Source organism: Homo sapiens, chromosome 1 (assembly GCF_000001405.40).
Source record: "Homo sapiens chromosome 1, GRCh38.p14 Primary Assembly".
Taxonomy (NCBI): Eukaryota; Metazoa; Chordata; class Mammalia; order Primates; family Hominidae; genus Homo; species Homo sapiens.
Window position 1 is genome coordinate 46586018 of NC_000001.11, and position 20224 is coordinate 46606241.

General features: G+C 46.4%; 1 protein-coding gene across 24 annotated transcripts in view, besides 3 other annotated features; it reads right to left on the minus strand.

Moving 5' to 3' along the window:
* The window catches only part of MKNK1 (MAPK interacting serine/threonine kinase 1), a 46862-nt gene extending 28611 nt beyond the window's left edge, over positions 1-18251 (minus strand). For 8 of the 24 annotated variants that reach the window (NR_024174.3, NR_024176.3, XM_047433047.1 and 5 more), the window contains exons 1-2: positions 18168-18251; positions 8096-8263 (exon numbers count right to left, since the gene is read on the minus strand). Coding sequence is in view for 3 of the 24 variants with exons in the window: in XM_047433024.1 (XP_047288980.1) it covers positions 8096-8129 (34 nt within the window). In the remaining 21 variants the exon portion in view is untranslated. Of the gene's footprint in view, positions 1-216; positions 7580-8095; positions 8264-15517; positions 16135-17727; positions 17771-18147 lie in introns of those variants that run through there. The other 16 variants (NR_165250.1, NR_146512.2, NM_001377343.1 and 13 more) reach the window with 6 other exon arrangements.
* Positions 17565-18065: an enhancer, noted in NCBI's record as "H3K27ac hESC enhancer chr1:47069254-47069754 (GRCh37/hg19 assembly coordinates)". NCBI's record gives its function as "activates a minimal SCP1, AML or CMV promoter by ChIP-STARR-seq in primed H9 embryonic stem cells {active_cell/tissue: H9 hESC(primed)}" and the evidence as "EXISTENCE:reporter gene assay evidence [ECO:0000049][PMID:30033119]".
* Positions 17833-17882: an enhancer, noted in NCBI's record as "active region_1004". NCBI's record gives its function as "activates an Ori minimal core promoter by ATAC-STARR-seq in GM12878 lymphoblastoid cells {active_cell/tissue: GM12878}" and the evidence as "EXISTENCE:reporter gene assay evidence [ECO:0000049][PMID:35858748]".
* Positions 18213-18432: a silencer, noted in NCBI's record as "silent region_848". NCBI's record gives its function as "represses an Ori minimal core promoter by ATAC-STARR-seq in GM12878 lymphoblastoid cells {active_cell/tissue: GM12878}" and the evidence as "EXISTENCE:reporter gene assay evidence [ECO:0000049][PMID:35858748]".

Sequence of the window (20224 nt, forward strand, 5' to 3'; positions counted from 1 at the left end):
CATGCTTAGCTTCCCTGGTTACACAGGGGGAAGCGAGAGGTGTCATAATCTCACCAAGGGGTCGCTAGTTGCCCATGTGGAGCCTGGCCACACACTATTTTCATCACAGAGTCCACTAGCAGGTCTGTGGGGCCTTAATTCATCATGCAAACACTCATGGGATAAATGCTGCCTCAGGGAGTGGGACCCCCGCAGTAAAGCTGCACCTTGGCTCACCTGCTTCCCTTGGCCTAGGAATTCTTCTTGGTCATCAAAAGCCGGCTCGATAGTCCCAACCCTTTTGCAGCTCCCTGATAACTCCAGATGAGTTAAGGTTTCTACAGAGACTCTGGAAGTCAGTTAGGTGCTATGCAAATGGAGGGTGTTACTGAGCAGAACTAGTAGTTGGTGCTCCATCCTCTGCTCCCAAACACCCTGCGAGAAGCTCCACGAGGGCACTGATTTTATTTGGCCTTGAGTGCTCCCCTGTGTTCCTAAAGGCTGAGATTGTCCCCTGTTCACTTGTTTCTCCTACAGATCATGGCACAGTGTCAGACACATAGCAGCCATCAGAAATTGCACTGAAATAGAAATGATATGAAATGACATGCATACTGTTAGGTGTGGGGTATGTCACACTGGCCTTTTAGGTACCCAGTGCACATCCTGAAAGAAACATGGGTACAACTTTGCCCTGTAGACAATGCAGAGTAAGGCTACTTAGTTTTATGAATCCAGTTCAGGAATTCTACTAATTCCTGGATAAACTCCCTTTCGAAAAAGGGTCTAGGACACAAAACGTCCTTCACTTTCTTATCTTTTCTTTTCTTTTTGAGATGGAGTCTTGCTCTGTCACCCAAGCTGGAATGCAGTGGAGTGCAGCTCAGTACAACCTCTGCCTCCCGGGTTCAAGCGATTCTCCTGCCTCAGCCTCCAGAGTAGCTGGGACTACAGGCACATGCCACCATGTCCGGCTAATTTTTTGTACTTTTTAGTAGAGACGGGGTTTCGCCATGTTGGCCAGGCTGGTCTCAAACTCCTGACCTCAGGTGATCCGCCTGCCTTGGCCTCCCAAAGTGCTGGGATTACAGACGTGAACCACTGCGCCCAGCCAGGTCCTTCACTTTCTAAACAGAAGCCTGGTTCTTGCTATAGGATTGGGCAATGTGTCTGTTATTACAGAGGAAGAAGTGAGCACTTCTTTTCAGTTTCAGGCAGATCCCAGCTGGTCTGGAGGCTCCCAGCACTTCCGCTGCCTCCAGCCCTTGCCTTCCTCTTGGGAACGGCTCGGCGGTCCACCACATGTGTCTATTAGTGGAGGTGGAAGTGGAACTGAAGAAGCAGCATGCTGCTTGCTGACAGGGAAGGCACACAGGCTTGGCATCAGGCGAGCAAGGCAGAAGCCCTGGTTCAGATATTATAACAGAACCAAGGCCAAGTTACTGTGCCTCTTAGAGTCTCAGTTTCCTCATCTATCAAATAGGTTTAAAAACACACCCGCCCTGTCTACCTCACAGGTTGTTGTAAAGACCCAATGATGGCCAGGTGTGGTGGCTCACACCTGTAATCCCAGCACTTTGGGAGGCCGAGGCAGGCAGATCACCTGAGGTTGGGAGTTTGAGACCAGCCTGACCAACATGGAGAAACCTCGTCTCTACTAAAAGTACAAAATTAGCCAGGCATGGTGGTGCATGCCTGTAATCCCAGCTACTCGGGAGGCTGAGGCAGGAGAATTGCTTGAACCCCGGAGGCGGAGGTTGCGGTGAACTGAGATCGCACCATTGCACTCCAGCCTGCGCAACAAGAGTGAAACTCCGTCTCAAAAAAAAAACAAAAAATACCCAATGATATACTTCACATAAATATGTTTCCAAAAACATATGCATATGCACAGGTATGTATGCCCATATATGAACCCAACAGAGTAGAAAGACTAGACAGAAATACGTAAAACTGCTAATACGCTACAATTTTAAAAAGTGCCAACTACATGGATATTCTGTACATATTATCTCTAATTCTTATCATAATCTCAAAAGGTAAATATTTTTGCCATATTTCAGGTAAGGAAAGAAGCTCAGAGCAGGCAGCCAGTAGATTAAATAACCTACCCAATGCCAAACATCTAGTTAGTGGTTTAACTGGGATTCAAACTCAATGCTGCTCTTTCAAGTCCAGACCATTTCTAATCCATAAGAGTTTTCTCTATGTGATGGGGTGATTTTTATTTTCTTTTTTATATTTTCAGTATTCTCTAAATTGTACACAATGAAATTTATTTTTCCTGCTATTATTGTTTAACTCACGTTTTATTTTTAAATAAAGTACACCATAATCTTTCTCTAATACACATTGGAATTTGGTATCTGATTTTAGTTTTTAAAAATGTTTCTAGATTTCTCTGTATTAAAATTCAACATTCAGTGATGAAAGAAACATTTTAGGAATATTGGTGCCATGAAGATACTAATTTCGCAATCATTCAAAACAACCAATGTTATTTTTATTTTTTAAAAAATGCTACTTCTTGGCCGGGCGTGGTGGCTCACGCCTGTAATCCCAGCACTTTGGGAGGCCGAGGCGGGCGGATCACGAGGTCAGGAGATCGAGACCATCTTGGCTAACACGGTGAAACCCCATCTCTACTAAAAATACAAAAAATTAGCCGGGCGAGGTGGCGGGCGCCTGTAGTCCCAGCTATTCGGGAGGCTGAGGCAGGAGAATGGCGTAAACCCCGGGGGGCGGAGCCTGCAGTGAGCCGAGATCGCGCCACTGCACTCCAGCCTGGGCGACAGAGCGAGACTCCGTCTCAAAAAAAAAAAAAAAAATGCTACTTCTTAAAAGTAAATATTTTATAAAAACAAATGAAAAAATGTGCTGAACATTGGAGCCTGAGAGCTATGGCTCTCCTCCACTGCACGAACTGCAGCAAGCTGCTTAGCTTCTCTGAGGATCAGTTTCCTTGTATATGAAATGAGGTAAGCAGAAGGCCTGGGCTGCCCATGCCACAAGGCTGCTGTGAGGATCAAATAAGAGACTAGAAGTGAAAGCACCACTGACTTACTCTTCAATAATGCTATATTTATTGGGCACCTACTGATCGTCTGGTGCTAGACAGTGAGAGTATAAGAGAAGACACAGTCTCTTCCCTGATGGCGTTTAAATCTGCTGCTGACGCTTAAAACAATTTCAACATAGTAGGACAAGTGCTGGGACAGGGAGGTACCAGGTGCTGTGGAGCAGGAGAGAGGAAGCTAACCCAGTTGGGTAACTAGAGGAAGACACAGCTAAGCCTCAATACCTGAGGGATGAGTGGGACAGGGCTGAGGCCTGGAAGAGAGTGTCCCAGACCAAGGAAGGGCACAGGCTGAGGCCTGGAGGAGGGACACAGGGCCGGTGGGGGCCACTGGTGATCACTCAGGCTGGCAGGGGCACAGAGCACATGGGAGGAGGGATGACATTAGCTCACAAGCAGTCTCATCGTCATCGATGATAATAAATGTCTCCATTCCTAGGCATACGTTTATCTTGTTTTCTCCATTAAAATAGGAATGCATGTTTCGTCTCTTTGTAAAACCTGTGAGTGAACGAGCACTGATGGTACTGAAGGTATAGTAAGTGTGAAGGATACAGATCCAGGAATCATCCTGGTTCCTGCAGGGGAGATTTACAGAGAACTCATAGAGCAGATGAGGAAGGGTTATGGAGGCTCCCTAGAAGGACTACTGCAGCACAGAGATTCCTGACATGCAAGCATCCATCCACCATTCTGCTCCAGAAAGTGACCTCGAGGCCCACCCTCTGGAAGAACTGTGTTACTTCTCCATAGTCTTATGAGCCACATTGTCCCCAAAGGAACCAGATCTGTACTCCAAATTTTGAAGAGCCTGCAGAGAACTCATCAGCTTTCATATCTGTGCATGAAACCAGAGATGATCCTCTCCCCACTGAGAACCCGACTTTGCTGGCTAGCTCAGCTCTGCAAACTTAGCTCACACTCCTCTCCCAACCACTTCAGAATTCTTTTCAAGGTCTCCCCAACCTTTAAGAGCGATTTCCCTCAGCCACAAGAGCTTTCTTGAGAAGAAATAGTGGTGAGAGCAAGCAGAGAAGTGTAATTACCAACCCAGCTGCCTTCTCGGGCATCAGCTAGCTGAGCATTCCAAAACAAATGGAGAACGGAGAAAATGATCAGGAACTGAGGGACTGAAAGGAAGTGTCATGGGCACTCTTAAGGAAGTGGCCAAGACTAAGAAATGTGACAGAGGAGGCAATGAGGGGGTACCTGGGGAGACTGACCCCAGAACATTTACATCTTTGAAGTAGTAGCCGGAGCAGTATTAGAGTCCACATGACTACTCCTAGTAGTGACATTACTCACACACACACATGCTGCTTACTGTAGGCCAGGCAGCATTCTAAGCACTTTACCAACGCTACACTTTACATATACTAACTTATTTAATCATCACTACTTTATGAGCTAAGTATCCAGATTTTACAGATGAAGAAACTGAAGTACAAAGAGATTAAATGATTTGCTCAAGGTCGCATAGCTTGTAAGTGGCAGAGCTGAGATCTACATCTAGATGGTCTGGCTCAGAATTCAAGCTTTTAACCATTACACTGTATTTAAACCTTAATGCTGAAAGGCAGAAGGGGTAGCTAGTAAAAGTAGCCAGGCACCAATGAGAATGCTTTTGTTTATAAACCTTAGCACAGAGCTTCCCTGCTGATGTGCTGTGAATGAGGTATTGATCCCCTCATCAGGCCTCCAGTCACTCACTGTTACTTAGGTGTGCAGAACAGTATCATTTTCAGCGTGTGCTATGATGTGAAAAGGTTGGGCAGCACTGCCCTAGCTTCTGGAAATATGAAGGCATTATTACCACATTATCATCGTCCTATTAATCAAAAACTTCATTTATCAGAAGTTTCTTCTTCTTGCTCTGAGCTTGCCTTGTATTTTGTGTTTTGTCATCTTATGAAAGATGAGCTACCAACCAAAGTCCACCTACATTATTTCATGGCAGTTCTGGTGTCAGGGACAGGCTACGTTCTTCTGTCTGACCCATTAGTGGGAAGATTTGGTTTTGTGGCATCATGATTATGCTGGGACAAGGAAAGGGTACACTCAAACAGACACTAGTCAGATTTAACACATGATGGATGAAAGGAGCCACTTGTAAAGTCAGCTCAATCAAAGGACCGTCTGTCCATAGCGATACTGCAAGGGGCTAAGGTATTCTTTCCCCAAGAGTCTGGTGTGAGGGGAGGCTGGGCTGCAGCATGCAGGTGGCAGCATTTCACTCCGCTGCAATGAAACTGGCAGGTGAGGCCTGCTAGGGTGCCAGCAAAGGATCCCCCACAGGCCTCAGACAGGACTGGGGGCCTGAGAGTCCTAGAGACAAAAGGTCACAACTCCAGTCCATCTTCTACCTCTGTTCTGATTCTGGGATCACAGGCAGCCTTCAGAGCTGTCACTGCATCTCCTGGTGGAAGGAACAAGAGGAAGGACATGGAAGGGGAGAATGAAGTGTGTGCTGAAGAAAGAGCAAGCAGGAGGAAAGGGCTGGATGGGAGTGGGGAGCAGCGTGTAGAAAGCTGACAAAGGTGGGCTGCGCTCAAGGCCCCCAAGCACAAACGCAGCCCACGAGGCTCTCCAACCCCAAGCCCCTGTCTACCTTCCAGCCTCAGCACCCAACACAGCCATTGTTTCATGTAAAAATGAAACTAGTGGCTAGTTTCACTTGCCATTCAAGGGATCCCACATGTGCTTTTCCTTGCTTTTCCTTGAGTCAGGTGCTATACTTTGGTTTGCCGCAGAAGTACTTTATGAGCATTTCTATTTTGTTACACAGAATATTAAAGAGATCCGTACTCAGGGTTGGAATTCAATAAAACTGACAATTTTTGCTACTTCATCAAAGACATTCTTGTGTGAAAATGGCATTAAAAAAAAGCTGGGTGTGATGGCTCATGCCTGTAATCCCAGCACTTTGCGAGGCTGAGGTGGGCAGACCACCTGAGTTCAGGAGTTCGAGCCCAGCCTGGCCAACATGGCAAAACTCTGTCTCTATTAAAAATACAAAAATTAGCTGGTTGTGGTGGCAGGTGTCTCTAATCTCAGTTACTCAGGAGACTGAAGCAGGAGAATCACTTGAACCCGGGAGGCGGAGGTTGCAGTGAGCCGAGGTCATGCTGTTGTAGTCCAGCCTGGGTGACAAAGTGAGACTCTATCTCAAAATAAAAACAAAAACAAAAACCTGGGAGTACATAGCAGTGGAGAATATAGTGGCTACTGGCACAGTTCAGCATCACCACCTTGACCAAGGCACCAACAGTCTTACTCATTGTTGCTTTCCAGCAACAGACAGCATCTTAGTACGATTACAAAAATCATTTTAACTGTGCAGATTCCTAAAGGAGTTTTGGGGACCCCCATGGTCTGCAGTGTATGCTGCGAACCACTGGCCTAGGTGATGGGGAGGGACTGGGTGTGACTGGAGCTGTGCCTGGGGGCCACGGAACTGACTGTGATGTGAAGAACAAACTGGAGGCTAGAGCAAGAGGGCTGAAAGAGGCTGCTGGAACAGCCCGGGGCAGGGTGAGAAAGGCCTACAACAGAGACAGGGAGAGCAGGGAGAGCAAGGAAGAGGAGGTGAGGTGTGTAACAGAGTGAGGGAATGAAGTCATCGAGGCAGAACTGGTTCTAGTCCTACCAAATGACTGAAGAAGGTGGGGGCAAAGACCACAGCCCTCCTTGAAGGAAGGGACAGTGTTTAATTCCTCTGTATCCCCACTGCCTAGCATGCAGCCAGGAAGAGGAGGGCCTCATATACTTATGATTACATGTTTATTAACCAAAGTCAGGTCACCATAACAACAGTAGGACCATCAAACAGGGGGAAAATTCAGGAAGTGGAGCTGGCTGGGGACGGGGAGCAGGGAAAGACAATGGCACCACCGGGGACCTTCAGATGAAGAAGGGTGACACACAGCCACCAGGGACTATGAAAACTCACCGATCAGGCTAAAACCACTCTCACTCAGCCCTCATCTGACCCAAATCTGCAAATGAGGCATTATTCATAATCTCCCAGGCATGACAAAACCTCTGGTGACAGTGTAACACAGAACACTTCAAAATGTCATCATATATATCATATATACGTTAAAAAAAACCTGAAAAGACACATCTCAAATTATTATTATGTTTTGAGCTACGGTCTCGCTCTGTCATCCAGGCTGGAGTGCAGTGGCACAATCTCGGCTCACTGCAGCCTCCGCCTCCCGGGTTCAAGCAATCCTCTTGCCTCAGCCTCCCAAGTAGCTGGCACTACAGGCGTGTACCACCATGCTTGGCCAGTTTTTAAATTCTTTGTAGAGACAGTCTTGCTATGTTGCCCAGGCTGGCCAAATTATTAGCAATGGTTATTTGGGGAGGGACAGTGTCTAATTCCTCTCTATCCCCGCTGCCTAGTATGGAGCCAGGCAAAGAGGGGCTTCATATACTTCTGCTGTATTTTATCTTGTTTTGTTATGAAGTAGTTGTTTTAATTTCATAATTAAATAGATCTGGCCAGGCGCAGTGGCTCATGCCTGTAATCCCAGCACTTTGAGAGGCCAAGGCAGGCAGATCACTTGAGGTCAGGAGTTTGAGGCCAGCCTGGCTAACATGATGAAACCCGTCTCTACTAAAAACAAAAATTAGCTGGGTGTGGTGGTGCACGCCTGTAATCCCAGCTACTCAGGAAGCTGAGGCAGGAGAATCGCTTGAACCTGGGAGGCAGAGGTTGCCGTGAGCGGAGATTGCACCACTGCACTCCAGCCTGGGCGACAGAGGGAGACTCTATCTGAAAAAAAAAAAAAAAAAAAAGTAAATAAATATGTTTTAGTTACATGTTTTCCTTATGACCCTTCCATGTCATTCTGTAGAAATGTGTTCCTCCTACTAAGCGTTATCTGAGTCGTACCAGGGCAGCTCCGCTATTCCTAGCTAACTAACTAAGTGCTGAAAACCACGGTCTCTTACCCGCCCTTTCCTCTGGATGTATCAGATCATTTCAATTTGAAGTAATCTAAAAGGATAACTAAAATGTACACCCAATCTTACCTATAGGTTTTTCCAACTTTTGAGAAGATACCATCTGTAAACTTGAAATCCCAAATGAAATAAAGCTCCTGTCAGGAAGTTGGTGTCTTCCAGCTACACGAAGTGTCTCAATGGCCTTTGTGCGTAGGTGGCAATCTTCAGTTCTCCATCGGCCTCTGACATGGAAACCTTGAAAAAGCAGAAATAGAAAGGAAATCAAAATGCTGACTTCTTTAAAAGGACCAGAAAAGAGAAAGATCAATCTGAACGTGCCCCAAACCTATGAGTTACCCCACTAAGTAGATATACACGCAGCAATCACAGGTTTCCCATCTTTAAAATCAGACATTTGAATTAAATTTTTTGTAGAGATAGAGTCTTGTTATGTTGCCCAGGCTGGCCAAATTATTAGCAATGATTATTTGGGAAGGGGTGGCTTCTAATTCCTCTCTATCCCCACTGCCATTAAGCACTGGAAGATTTAACAAAGGTCTGAGTGAAATTTTTCAGATTCTGTTTCCATTATGGGATTCCAGACCCAAAAAGATGTAACTGGACCTGGATGATAGAGATAAGACACCTCTGCTCTGAGGAGTCTCAGGCAAAAGATAAAAGTTGACAGGCCAGGTGTGGTGGCTCATGCCTGTAATCTCAGCACTTTGGGAGGCTGAGGCAGGTGGATTGACTGAGCTCAGAAGTTCAAGACCAGCCTGGGCAACATGGTGAAACCCATCCCTACAAAAATACTAAAATTAGCCAGGCATGGTGGCACACACCTGTAGCTGCTTGGGAGGCTGAGGTGGGAGGATTGCTTGAGCCCAGGAGGTCGAGGCTGCAATGACCCAAGATCATGCCACTGCACTCCAACCTGGGTGACAGAGCGAGGCACTCCTCTGCTATCCACGTTTTTAGAGAAATGAGCTGGGCTCTCTCTCTTAGTGGCCAAGTCCAAGTCTCACAGGCAAGAGGAAACAGAGCCCGAAAGATAAAGTAGATGCTGAGAGCAGGAGGTGGCATGAATGGGAACAAGGTTTTGTGTCGAATACATAATTATTGCTAGTTTTCAATCTGATGACTTCATTTTCTCTATGTTCACTGTTATTTTAATACCATGGCTCTAGCTATACAAGTCAAAGTTGCTTTGTCAACTTCCCTATGAAATAAATATGCATTTCCCCTTTTCTCGGTGGAAAAGCCCTGAAAATGCAGTTTAACTCTGAATTCTGAGCCAAAATTTCTAAAAAGGCTTTCTAACTGGAAGTTGGGTGTGTTTCACCATGACCTCAAACCACATGCCCCAAGTGGGACTTGTGCCCAACCCCCACCCACTGCCTCCTTCCTCTGACTTCTCTTCTTCCCTATCAGATCACGTCATCCTGCCAGTTATTCCTCAAAGGCAAGCACTTACCTTTTTCATCTTTGCATTACCAGCATCTAACATAGTATCTGGCAAAAATGGGCTCTAGTGAATCTGAATGAATTACTTAATACACGAAATATCTCTTTAACATCCAATAAAGATGTTAGCACATTGGACAGTCCTTCCTACTATGCTCTTTATTCCCAAACAAATCTGAAACCCAGTAAAACTGTTTCCAGGGCCTAAGGAAACTCAGGGTATGCTCTCTTTCTTCACTTCTACTACCACACTTCCAGGGACAGCCTTGAACACCATCCAACGACAGGATCTGGCTCCATTAGCCAGGCTGGAGTGCAGTGGCATGATCTTGGCTCACTGCAGCCTCCACCTGCCAGGCTCAAGTGATCCTCCCACCTCAGCCTCCCAAGTAGCTGAAACTACAGGCACGAGCCACCACGCCTAATTTTTGTATTTTTTGTAGACACAGGGTCTCACCATGTTGCCCAGGCTGGTATTGAGCTCCTGAGCTCACGTGATTTGCCTGTCTCAGCCTCCCAAAGTGCTGGGATTATGGGCGTGAGCCACCACGCCTGGCCTTGAGCTTCCATTCTGTCTTTAGTCTTGTCATAGGTTTAGACCCCCACCTGGTCCCTTCTTGTTACCTATGGTAGGAGTTGGCAATTTTTTTTCTGTAAAGTGCCAGATGGTAAATATTTTAAGCTTTGTGTGTCACATGATCTTTGTTATGACTCAATTTTGCATTTGTAGAGAGAAAGCAGTAGACAATATGTAAATCAATGATTGTAGCTATATGTCAATAAAACTTTATTTTTGGACACTGAAATTTAAATTTCATAGATTTTCATGTGTCATAAAATATTGATCTTTTCTTGATTTCTCCCCAACCACATAAAAATGTAAAAAGTACATTAGTTTGCATCCACACTAAAACAGGCAGTGAGTCAAATATGGCCTGTGGGCCATACTTTGCCAACCCTTGGCCTACAGTAGAAAAAAAACCCCTCAGAATTCCTTATGGGCTTTGTGTTATTTTGCCACGTGGAGCCACCTTAGGCTGGGGAAGTAGAAAGCACAGGGCTTTTGGGCATTAGGTCCTAGGTTCCAGTTCTGGCCCTACCATCTACCAGCCGGGTAGCCTTGGACATAAAATTCAAACTCTCTGAGCTTTACTACCATCATCTATAAAATGGGGCAATAACACCTAGATCACAGAGTTGTCATGGCAATTAAGTGAGCTAATGTATATAGAGCTCGTGGCACCAGTATCTGGCATACAGTAGGCACTCAATAGTAACTCTTATTCCAGCTTCTGACATGGCTTCTCCAGATCAACTGCAGCTCTGGAAAGCAACCCAGCCAATCTGTGAACCACAGTTGGCCGCAGGAGGGAATAAACTGACAGCAAATACAAAGGCAGAGAGAGAATGTGGAGGTTTTCAGATACATGTCACAGGATTCTAAGTGCCTGGTTAGCCCTAATTCCTTCTGGCACCATTTAAAATTCCTCTGGTCCCTTTTTCCTCCTCAAAAATTACTTCTGACTCTCACAGTTCTTAAAGATTCTTAGCATTCTTTACCAACTACCCAGATGGACCCTGGAGCCCTCTCCTCATTCCTGTACCTCCTGCTGGTATAGGGCTGGGGTGGGGAAGGGTGACCATGGCCAGACCAAACCTACACAGATCCATCGGCCTGCAGCTGGGTCTTAAGTAGGCTGGGCCTGGCGAGGCACCCAATTCTCTCTCAATTGTTCATGAATTTCTTGCTGTACTGGGAATTAAATTTCTTCAGTGCTTAAGAACTAGACCTTCTACAGACGTTTTAGAGCAAAAAAAAAAAAAAAAATCACCATGTATACAAACAAAAGATCCATCACATTACTTTCAAGACAGAAAACATCAGTGAGGCACAGGTAAGGCTAAGGTTTATGGCATCTCTACCCTTGGTCCAAAAAGCCAGATCTCGACCTGTTACTTCCTTGCTCTAAAACTTCTAATGGGTGTCCACTGCCTCTGGAGTAACCAAGCTTCTGTGCTGTCACTCACGGCCTCCATCAACTTGTCCCAGACCAACCCTCTATGGGAGTCTTAACCTGCAGTCTCGTCAAAAGGGACTGTATTTCCACCTGATTGCTCTAACCAATTCCCAGCTTCCTACACTTGTGCATAATTAAATTACCTGTAACATTTTATTACGCATCTTCCCCTAGACTGTTAGCCAGGGACAGGGTAGAGACTATGTCTCCTTCATCTCTGGGACCCCTACACCTAGCAGAGGCTCTGGTATGGGGCAACCACTTCATAATTGTTAATGAATGGATGGAAACAGCTGAAGTTATTCTTCCCTTAAGCTGTTTTAGCTGGACTCTTATTAGAAGACCGAGTACAGTCTGGGTCACTGCCACAAAGCAGAAAAACCGAAGAGAAAGAAAAGAGGCATGACCAATGTGATCCAAGCAATGGAAAACAGGTTTTAAGAGTGAGGTTAAAGAGACCAAGGCTGTTTAGCCGGGAGAAGAGAAGATGAGGTTTAACTGGATTCTGGCTTTAAGTACAGAAAAGGTTCTCATGAGAAAATCTTGATCTCATCCTCCCTTTAAAATCAGAAGAAACTTTTCCATATTCATGGAAAATGGAACAAGAAGAAATGGCTTAAGTTAAGGCCTGAAGGGTTTAAGCTGGACAGAAAGAAGAACCAAATTAGGCACCACTTTTCCAGAGATACTGTTATTGTACTTTTGGCAAGTGAATTGGAGGAGTCTTGCTTGGCACTCTTGTTGAAGGCTGTGAAAAAAGTAATATATGTGCTGCTCTGTTCCTGTTTACTGTGGAGAGAGGTGAAAACACAAGTCAGGTAAGATTTTCTAACGAGCCACTGATTTTTATTGACCCATTTCCTACAGGCACTTTCTGCCATGTTATGCATTGCAACCATGTGCTGGAACAATCTAGTATCTCAAAGGTTCCTGACAGGGCAATGGAAAGAAAGAGAAGGTAACAATGCGGGGGAAGGGAAAATGGCCCTAATAAATATACTTTCTATAAAAACAGTACCAAACTGGGCATTCATATATTTATTAATATTATTACTATTAAAGCTCACATTCATTGAGCACCTACTGTGTGCCAGGCACTGTGCTGTTGTATCTCAATTCTCATAACAACCCCATGAGGTAAGTAATATTTGTATTCTCATTTTACAGATGAAGGAACAGAAACTCAGGAAGATTAAATAACTTGCCCAAGTCACACAGGTAGCAAGTGACAGAGCCAGGACTCAAACCCAGATAGCCTGACTCTAGAGTCCACATACCTAACTACTGTCTCTCTGTAAGGATGAGAGGCTGGAATATAAACTCTAGTCTCTCTGAATCCTGTTTATATTCTCAGTTCTTCCTCATACAGTCCCAAGCCAGGACATTAGCAAGAGTTGAGGCCTCAGAAGTGAACCAAAATACTCCTCTGATTATCAGCATCTATAAAATGGGGGCAATTACACCCACATCACAGAGTTGTCATGAGAATTAAGTGAGCTAATGTATATGGAGCTCATGGCATCAGTGCCTGGCATACAGTAGGCACCCAATAACTAGTAACTGTTATTCCCGCTTCTGATATGGCTTCCCCAGATCAGCTGTGGCTCTGGAAAGCAACCCAACGACTCTGTGAACCATAACTGGCTGCAGGAGGGAATAATCTGACAGCAAATACAAAGGAAAGAAACAGACTGAGGACTCTCAGATGATAATGAGCAGGTGCAGGACTTGAATGCCAGCCTCTGCACTCCAAGTTAGTGCTCTGTCCTACTTACAGACTCTTGTTGAATTTGAGGGTGAGAAAATGAAGAGACAGGATGTGCCAAACAGGCTGCCTCCCCCGACAGACCCTTTTGTAACGTCAATCTCCCATCAGAACCCATGCCTGAAATACCAGGGTCCTGCAGCTTCTGTAAACTGGTTCTAAGATTCTACTAGCTAAGGATGGCAATGCACTGATTTATGGCACTGTGGGTGCTGCCAAAATGATCACCTATTAAACCTATCAAGCAGACCTAGTCCATGCAGCTTCCAAACTAGGCCAGTGATTCACCGTTTAAGCCTCTTCACTGATGTCCCCATTCTGGGACCATCTTTGCTCCAGTCTAACCTCCGTCCTGCTGCCAGAGAAAACCGAGCGCCAGTCAGGGCATTTGGAGCCTCTAGCATAAGGAAGATAACATGGGCCTTTGAACTCAGCACTGCTAGTTTTGAACCAAGCTGTGCCCTTACTATCTATCTAACCTTGGGGAAGTCACTTTAATCTTTCTGAGGTCTGGTTTCCTCATCTTTAGATTGGAGATAAATAGGCCTATATTACAGGATTAAATATAGTATGTAAAGCAACCAGCATACTGCAAGCCACAAAGCAAAGGAGACACTTTATAAATGCTAGTGTTCTGCTCCCTACTCCACTCTCTACATTTTAGCCAAAATCTGCCAATTCGGCTTACTTCTTCTCCTCACCAACTCCTCTCCCCTCCCACAACACACACACACACACCCCTACACCTGAGCATTTCTGCCTCTCAACTGTTGCTCAAGCTGTTCCTTCTCCCAGGAATAAACTCCCTCCAAGGCCCAGCATAAATTCTCCACCTTCAGGAATCCTCTGGTCATGCTGGGATTGATTTCTCCTTCTTCCAAACTCCCACTTTGTTTACATTCCTTACTACATTTACCATAGTCAGTCTGATTTCAGTTATTTATGTACTTATCTATCTTCCCAACTACACTGGAGGGAGAAGGTTCTGAGAAGACAATTATTTATAGGAGGGCAGGAAATGTGTTGTTTTCCTCTGTGTATATTTCTCAATACCAGGGTCTTGTACATAGCAAGAGCTCAATATGTGCTTACCGAATTGAATCTTTCCATCCTATACTGGGAATCTTTACAGAAAGATCCCAGACTGAGTTCATTCTAAAACTGCATTTACTGCCTAACTTGATAAATAGGCAATTTTTGAAGTACATGAATATTCCTAAACTAAGATCCGCTAATACTCATGTGGGCTTGTTTCATTCCTTCATCCATTCTTCCAATACACTCTGGACTCTTCTTGGGATCTCTCTCCAGCATATAAGGAGACATTGCTGGGACAACACTTCTCACTCACGGAGATCTGGGAGCAAGCTCTTTGGAGAACTGTTCCACCCCACTGGGTAGGAGGTGACTGCCATTAAAACCACACTAAAACCCAGAGTTGTGGAATTGGAAAATAGATCTGAATGATCTGCCTTAGTTTCCAAGCTATAACACAGAGTTAAAAACACTTTTAAAAACAGTGTCTGGAACACAGCAAGTGTGCAATAAATGTTCGATGTTGTATTAACAACGTAGTAGACTGAAAAAACAGAGTCATGACATTTCACTTCTAGAACTATCTCCACTACTGACTGATTCCTTGTGTAATCTTTTTTTTTTTTTGAGACAGAGTCTCACTCTGTCGCCCAGGCTGGAGTGCAATGGCACAATTTCAGCTCACTGCAACCTCTGCCTTCTGGGTTCAAGCGATTCTCCTGCCTCAGCCTCCCAAATAGTTGGGATTACAGGCACCCACCACCATGCACAGCTAATTTTTGTATTTTTAGTAGAGATGGGGTTTCACCATGTTGGTCAGGCTGGTCTCGAACTTCTGACCTCAGGTGATCCACCTGCCTCGGCCTCCCAAAGTGCTGGGATTACAGGCGTGAGCCACACACCGGCCTCCTTGTGTAATCTCAATCAAGTCCTTTCCCCATCTATAAAATGAAAGTGGCGGAACCAGATGGTTGGTTTCCAAGCTCCTTCTACCTTCAACCATGTAAATTTTTCTCTGATCAAGAAATAACTTTCTCTTCCACATGCTGAGGCTGTTGGCAAGGGAAAATGTGCATTTATAGCTGCTGGTCCCCAGATGGGAGGAACCACTGTTTCCCAAGGCCAAGGGCAGAGTAAACTGATTAGAAAACCACCTGTGAGCTTTCCCCTGTTTGAACTGTACTATTAATACACCCAGTGCAGGTCTCTGAACACAGCATTACCTACCTTCCAACAAAACTCACGGTCAAGGCAAGACAAGAGCCTGAAAACAATGGCTGCAATGAAGAATGCCTGCTTGTGCAGAATTCTTGTACTTTCTTGTTTTTGATGCCTGTAATTAGGGCATCAGTCTAAACTGGGGCCCTCCTTAGGCACAAAGAGGAGGAAAAACACAAAGTCCCATTCTGAACCTGACAGCTCATAAAACAAGGGCCAAACCTAGTAAATAAAAAATGTCACTGACTCACTTAACCACAAACACTGAAGAGGCCTACTATGTGCTGGCCCTATGCTGGACAGAGGAGGAAGGAAAGAGACATGGTCCCTTGCCACCCACGTACTCAGAGTACATATGGAGTGTACATATCCCTAGGCAGACTATGATGAGAGCTATATTAGAGGGTCAGCCTTTGCTACAGAAGATGGAAAGGGGAACAACTAATCCAGCAGAAGGCTCAGAAAAGCTTCACCATGGAGGCCACATGAGATGTAAGAGATGTAAGCCTTGAAAGATGAGGAGGAGGAGGGAAATCCAGGAAGAGAGAATATAAGCAAAGGCTCGAGCAGGAACATGCAGGGAGTGTTTGAGAAACAGAGATTTGGCCGGGCACGTTGGCTCACATCTGTAGTACCAGCACTTTGGGAGGCCCAGGCAGGCGGATCACCTGAGGTCAGAAGTTTGAATCCAGCCTGGCCAACATGGCGAAACCCCGTCTCTACTAAAAATACAAAAATTAGCCGGGTGTGGTGGCTCATGCCTGTAATTCCAGCTACTCAGGAGGCTGAGGCAGGAGAATCACTTGAACCTGGGAAGTGGAGGTTGCAGTGAGCCGAGATTGTGCCACTGCACTCCAGCCTGGGTGACAAAGTGAGACTCCATCTCAAAAAAAAAGGAGAAACAGAGACAACTAGTTTATTTTGACTGAAGCACAGGTTGCAGGTTTGGGAAAACCAAGGGAAACAGGGAGGGGAGAGGTGTGGGAACAAATTGTGCAGGAACTTGTCTGAGGCTGGAGTCCAAACTCTACATCCAGCTTGTCCAACCCGCGGCCCTGGATGGCTCTGAATGTGGTCCAACACAAATTCATAAACGTTCTTAAAACACTGAGATTTTTTTGCAATTTTTTTAAAGCTCATCAGCTATTGTTAATGTTAGTGTATTTTATGTGTGGCCCAAGATGGTTCTTCTTCTTCCAATGTGGCCCAGGGAAGCCAAAAGATTGGACACCACTGCTCTATATAGTAGGCAATGATGCCCACCAAGGTTTCCGAGTAGTGTCTCAGGAAGAGCACAAGGGCACCCATGAAGAGGATGCAAAAGGAACTAAGTAATTCAATTACTCTGGGACCACATTACAGGAGACCACATGCACTTTCTAAGCACGTGCTGGGCTCTGACAGCTCCTGTTCACAGAGCTTCCCTCTCCCATGGCTTCGCTTCATGCAATCTGAGTTGCCATCCCCCACAACTGTCAACATCTGCAAAATACCAGAGTAACAGGACTCCTAACCAACTCTCTGGATTACAGAGAGAGAAGTGTTGAGGTGGGAGCAGATGGGCAGAGGGGGCACCAAAGCCTCTAGCTGGCTCAGTTCCATATAAAACCCAACCCTGGATTTCCTCTTCACATCACTTCCAGCCCAGCCCTCTAATGAAGGGCTGAAGCTAAGGAGAGTGGGCTGAAAGCACCTGGCTGATGGGTGGTGATCCAGTGAGACATTACACCTACTGTCCAGCATGTGCCTGGCGCATGGGCAGTGGTGCCCTTCCCATTCTGCAGGGTCAGTTCCATCTGTAAATCCCACTGAGGCTTCAAGGCCCAGGTCACAACAACTCTTCTCTCAGAGCCTTTCTAAAGTACCCCAATCCAAAATGACCAAGCTCCTAGAAATCACAGCTACCATGTATTCAGCACCCATTACATGACAGGCGCCATACTAGGTGACTTCCATATAATCCTATTCACCCTTCACAATGACCCTATTATGGCCATTTCCTAGGGAAGAAAGTGAAGCTCTGGGAGGGGAAGCAGACTTGCCCCAGGACACACAGCTAAGAGGTGGAAGAGATGAGATCTAAACCCAGGACTCCCTGACCCTGAAGTTGAGCACTTCTAACAACACTTCATTCCTGTGAGCCTGCCTGCCTCTGATCTGCCACTGTCAGGGAGCTTGGAGCTCTCTAGAAGACAGGGTGCACCTGACACTCTTATTACCTTTCCCTGTGGACAGCCATCCACACAGGCAGGAGCCTTTAAATACTGAAAATAAATGAAAACAATTAACTTAAAAATAACGCAGTACACAGATTTCACAAATTCCTCACGTGAAAAACTATTCATGATACTGGACTGCCTGAGCCCTGCGCCCAGCCATAGCCTCGGTCCTGATCCCTGGGAGAGACTGAGTCTCAAACGGGCCACAGAGTAAGCGCCATCTCGGACACCGGCCACGCCCCGACCCCAGGCACAGAGGTCGCAGACAGCTCGGGACAGTCCTGAAAAGCGTCCCCTTAGGCTGTCCCTCCGCAGCTGAATCGCGTCGTGACCTCGGGCAGCCGTGAAGGCCCTGACTGCCCCCTTCCGGGCACACGAGCTCACTCACAGACCCCGGCCCCATTTAGCTCGGAGGAATACCTCGCAGGTCTCGCTTTTACCTTCGCTGGCTCCCGCCGGGGAGCGGTCGCGCGCACCCCTACCTGCAGATCGCTCCTCCGAGAACGCGGAAGAGGCGGTGCTAGATCCAGGGGGTGGGCCCGATCAGAGAGGAGGGTGAGGGGGCGGAGCTGCGCCTGCGCCCTGATGGCTACCCAGGGCCGCCTGAGGGCAGGGGGCTCGAGCTGAGCGAACTGCGCAGGCGTGACAGGGAAGAGGCGGGGAGAGGGGAGATTGCTGGCAAGCGGGTGGGGCTTAGCTCCTCCGGCGCTTTCTTTTCCGAATGGAGGGTGGAGAAGCCCGGGAAGGTAGGAGGCCGGGCGCGACAGGTGTAATTAACATGTACTGAGAGCTTCTGCAGGCCAGGAAGGAATTTTAAAATGCCTTTTATATGTGGGGAAATGCTGCTAGTCTTTTCTAAAACGGGGGCCAATTCTGTACAATTTCTTTAAAAGTCTGAGTGCCTAGAATTTCACCATAAGAGTTTCTCCTTGAGTACAACATTATCCCCAGTATTTCAAAATTTTTAAAACTTTTAAAAGTTCATTTCTTGGGGAAAAACAACTGTAAATAGGTTAATGCCTCAACCAGTCTCCCCACATCCCCTTCCCAAGTCTGCAGCTGCGATGAGAAAGGATGAGAGTGTGGACTGGGATTTAATTCAGGCGCTGACTCCGAGTGATGGAGGTGAACATCCCTTCCCTGCCTGTCTCAGGATTATCGTGAGGATTTGGTAAGCCAAGCTAGTTAAAGAGCCCCAGGGACTTGCTTCCCATCATCCACCTGACAAACATTTGTTCCCTGTCTTGTCGGGGCTGTCTTTTCATCTGTATGATGGAAGGAGATTGGGAATATTAGTGAACATTCAGGACTTTGCTAGATTTCCCAATCTGGGTGAAGGCCGGAGAGGCGGAAGATCAAGCTTCTGTGTTCATTCCCTTCTGGAATCCTGCGGTCCAACCTGAGGGCCCCGATGTATCCTGACTTCTCCCACTCATTACCTTCCGTGGAGGCCGATCCAAGCTTCAAGTCTTCAGAGGCCCTGCTGGCCTGTTCCCTTCCCTGTTGCCTGTGGCAATAGCCCAAGAGATTCAGGACCTATGTTCCAGGTTCTCAAAGTTGCTATGTCCCTCACATGGCAATCAAATTCAGTTAACATCTTTGAGGGCTCTGGGGGTGCTCAGAGGAAGGAGGGCTCCCCCAAAGCAGGTGGAGCTCTAGTCATGACTGTGGCTTATTTCACCACATATTCCACAGCTTGCTGTGGGGTAGGGAGGAGAGGCAACAGGAAACCTCAGAGGCTGCAGTGTTTATGGGAGCCGAGGGTGATGCGGCATCCTTTACTCAATAGGTGGATGCTCTGCCCCAGGCTGGAGAGGATGGCTTACTACCTAGGTCCCTGCTCCAAATATTGTTTTGGAATTTTTTTTCTTTTTTTTTTTCTGAGACAAGGTCTCACTGTGTTCCCCAGGCTGGAGTGCAGTGGCACCAGCTTTGCTCACTGCAACCTCTGCTTGGGCTCAAGTGATCCTCCTGCTTCAGCCTCCTGAGTAGCTGGGATTACAGGCATGCACTACCATGACTGGCTAATTTTTGAATTTTTTTAGAGGCAGGGTTTTGCCATGTTGCCCAGGCTGGTCTCGAACTCCTGAGCTCAATGATCCTCCCACCTTGGCCTCCCAAAGTGCTGGGATTACAGGGAAGAGCCACTATGCCCAGCTTTGTTATGGACCTTGAGCCAACAGGAAAATAAAGCCCAGCCTGACTTCTCAACCAAGCTGCCACTCTACCTCCCAGGACCCTTTGTTACTAGGTTTTGCCCCATGGGAGTGTGCTCTTTTATCTGCATCATTGAGGCCCTATCTCTTTCTTTTCCCCTTCTCTTCCTTTCTGTCTATTCTTCTTTAAGCATCCCTCTGTGAATCTCTCAAAGCAATTTTGTGTCAGCTTCCTAATGTATTTACAGATATTCTCATGTAAGGTGCAGGTCTTGGGTCACACAGTTCTAAGATAAATCTACTCTCACTGCCATGGTCATATTTCAAAATGACCATGAACC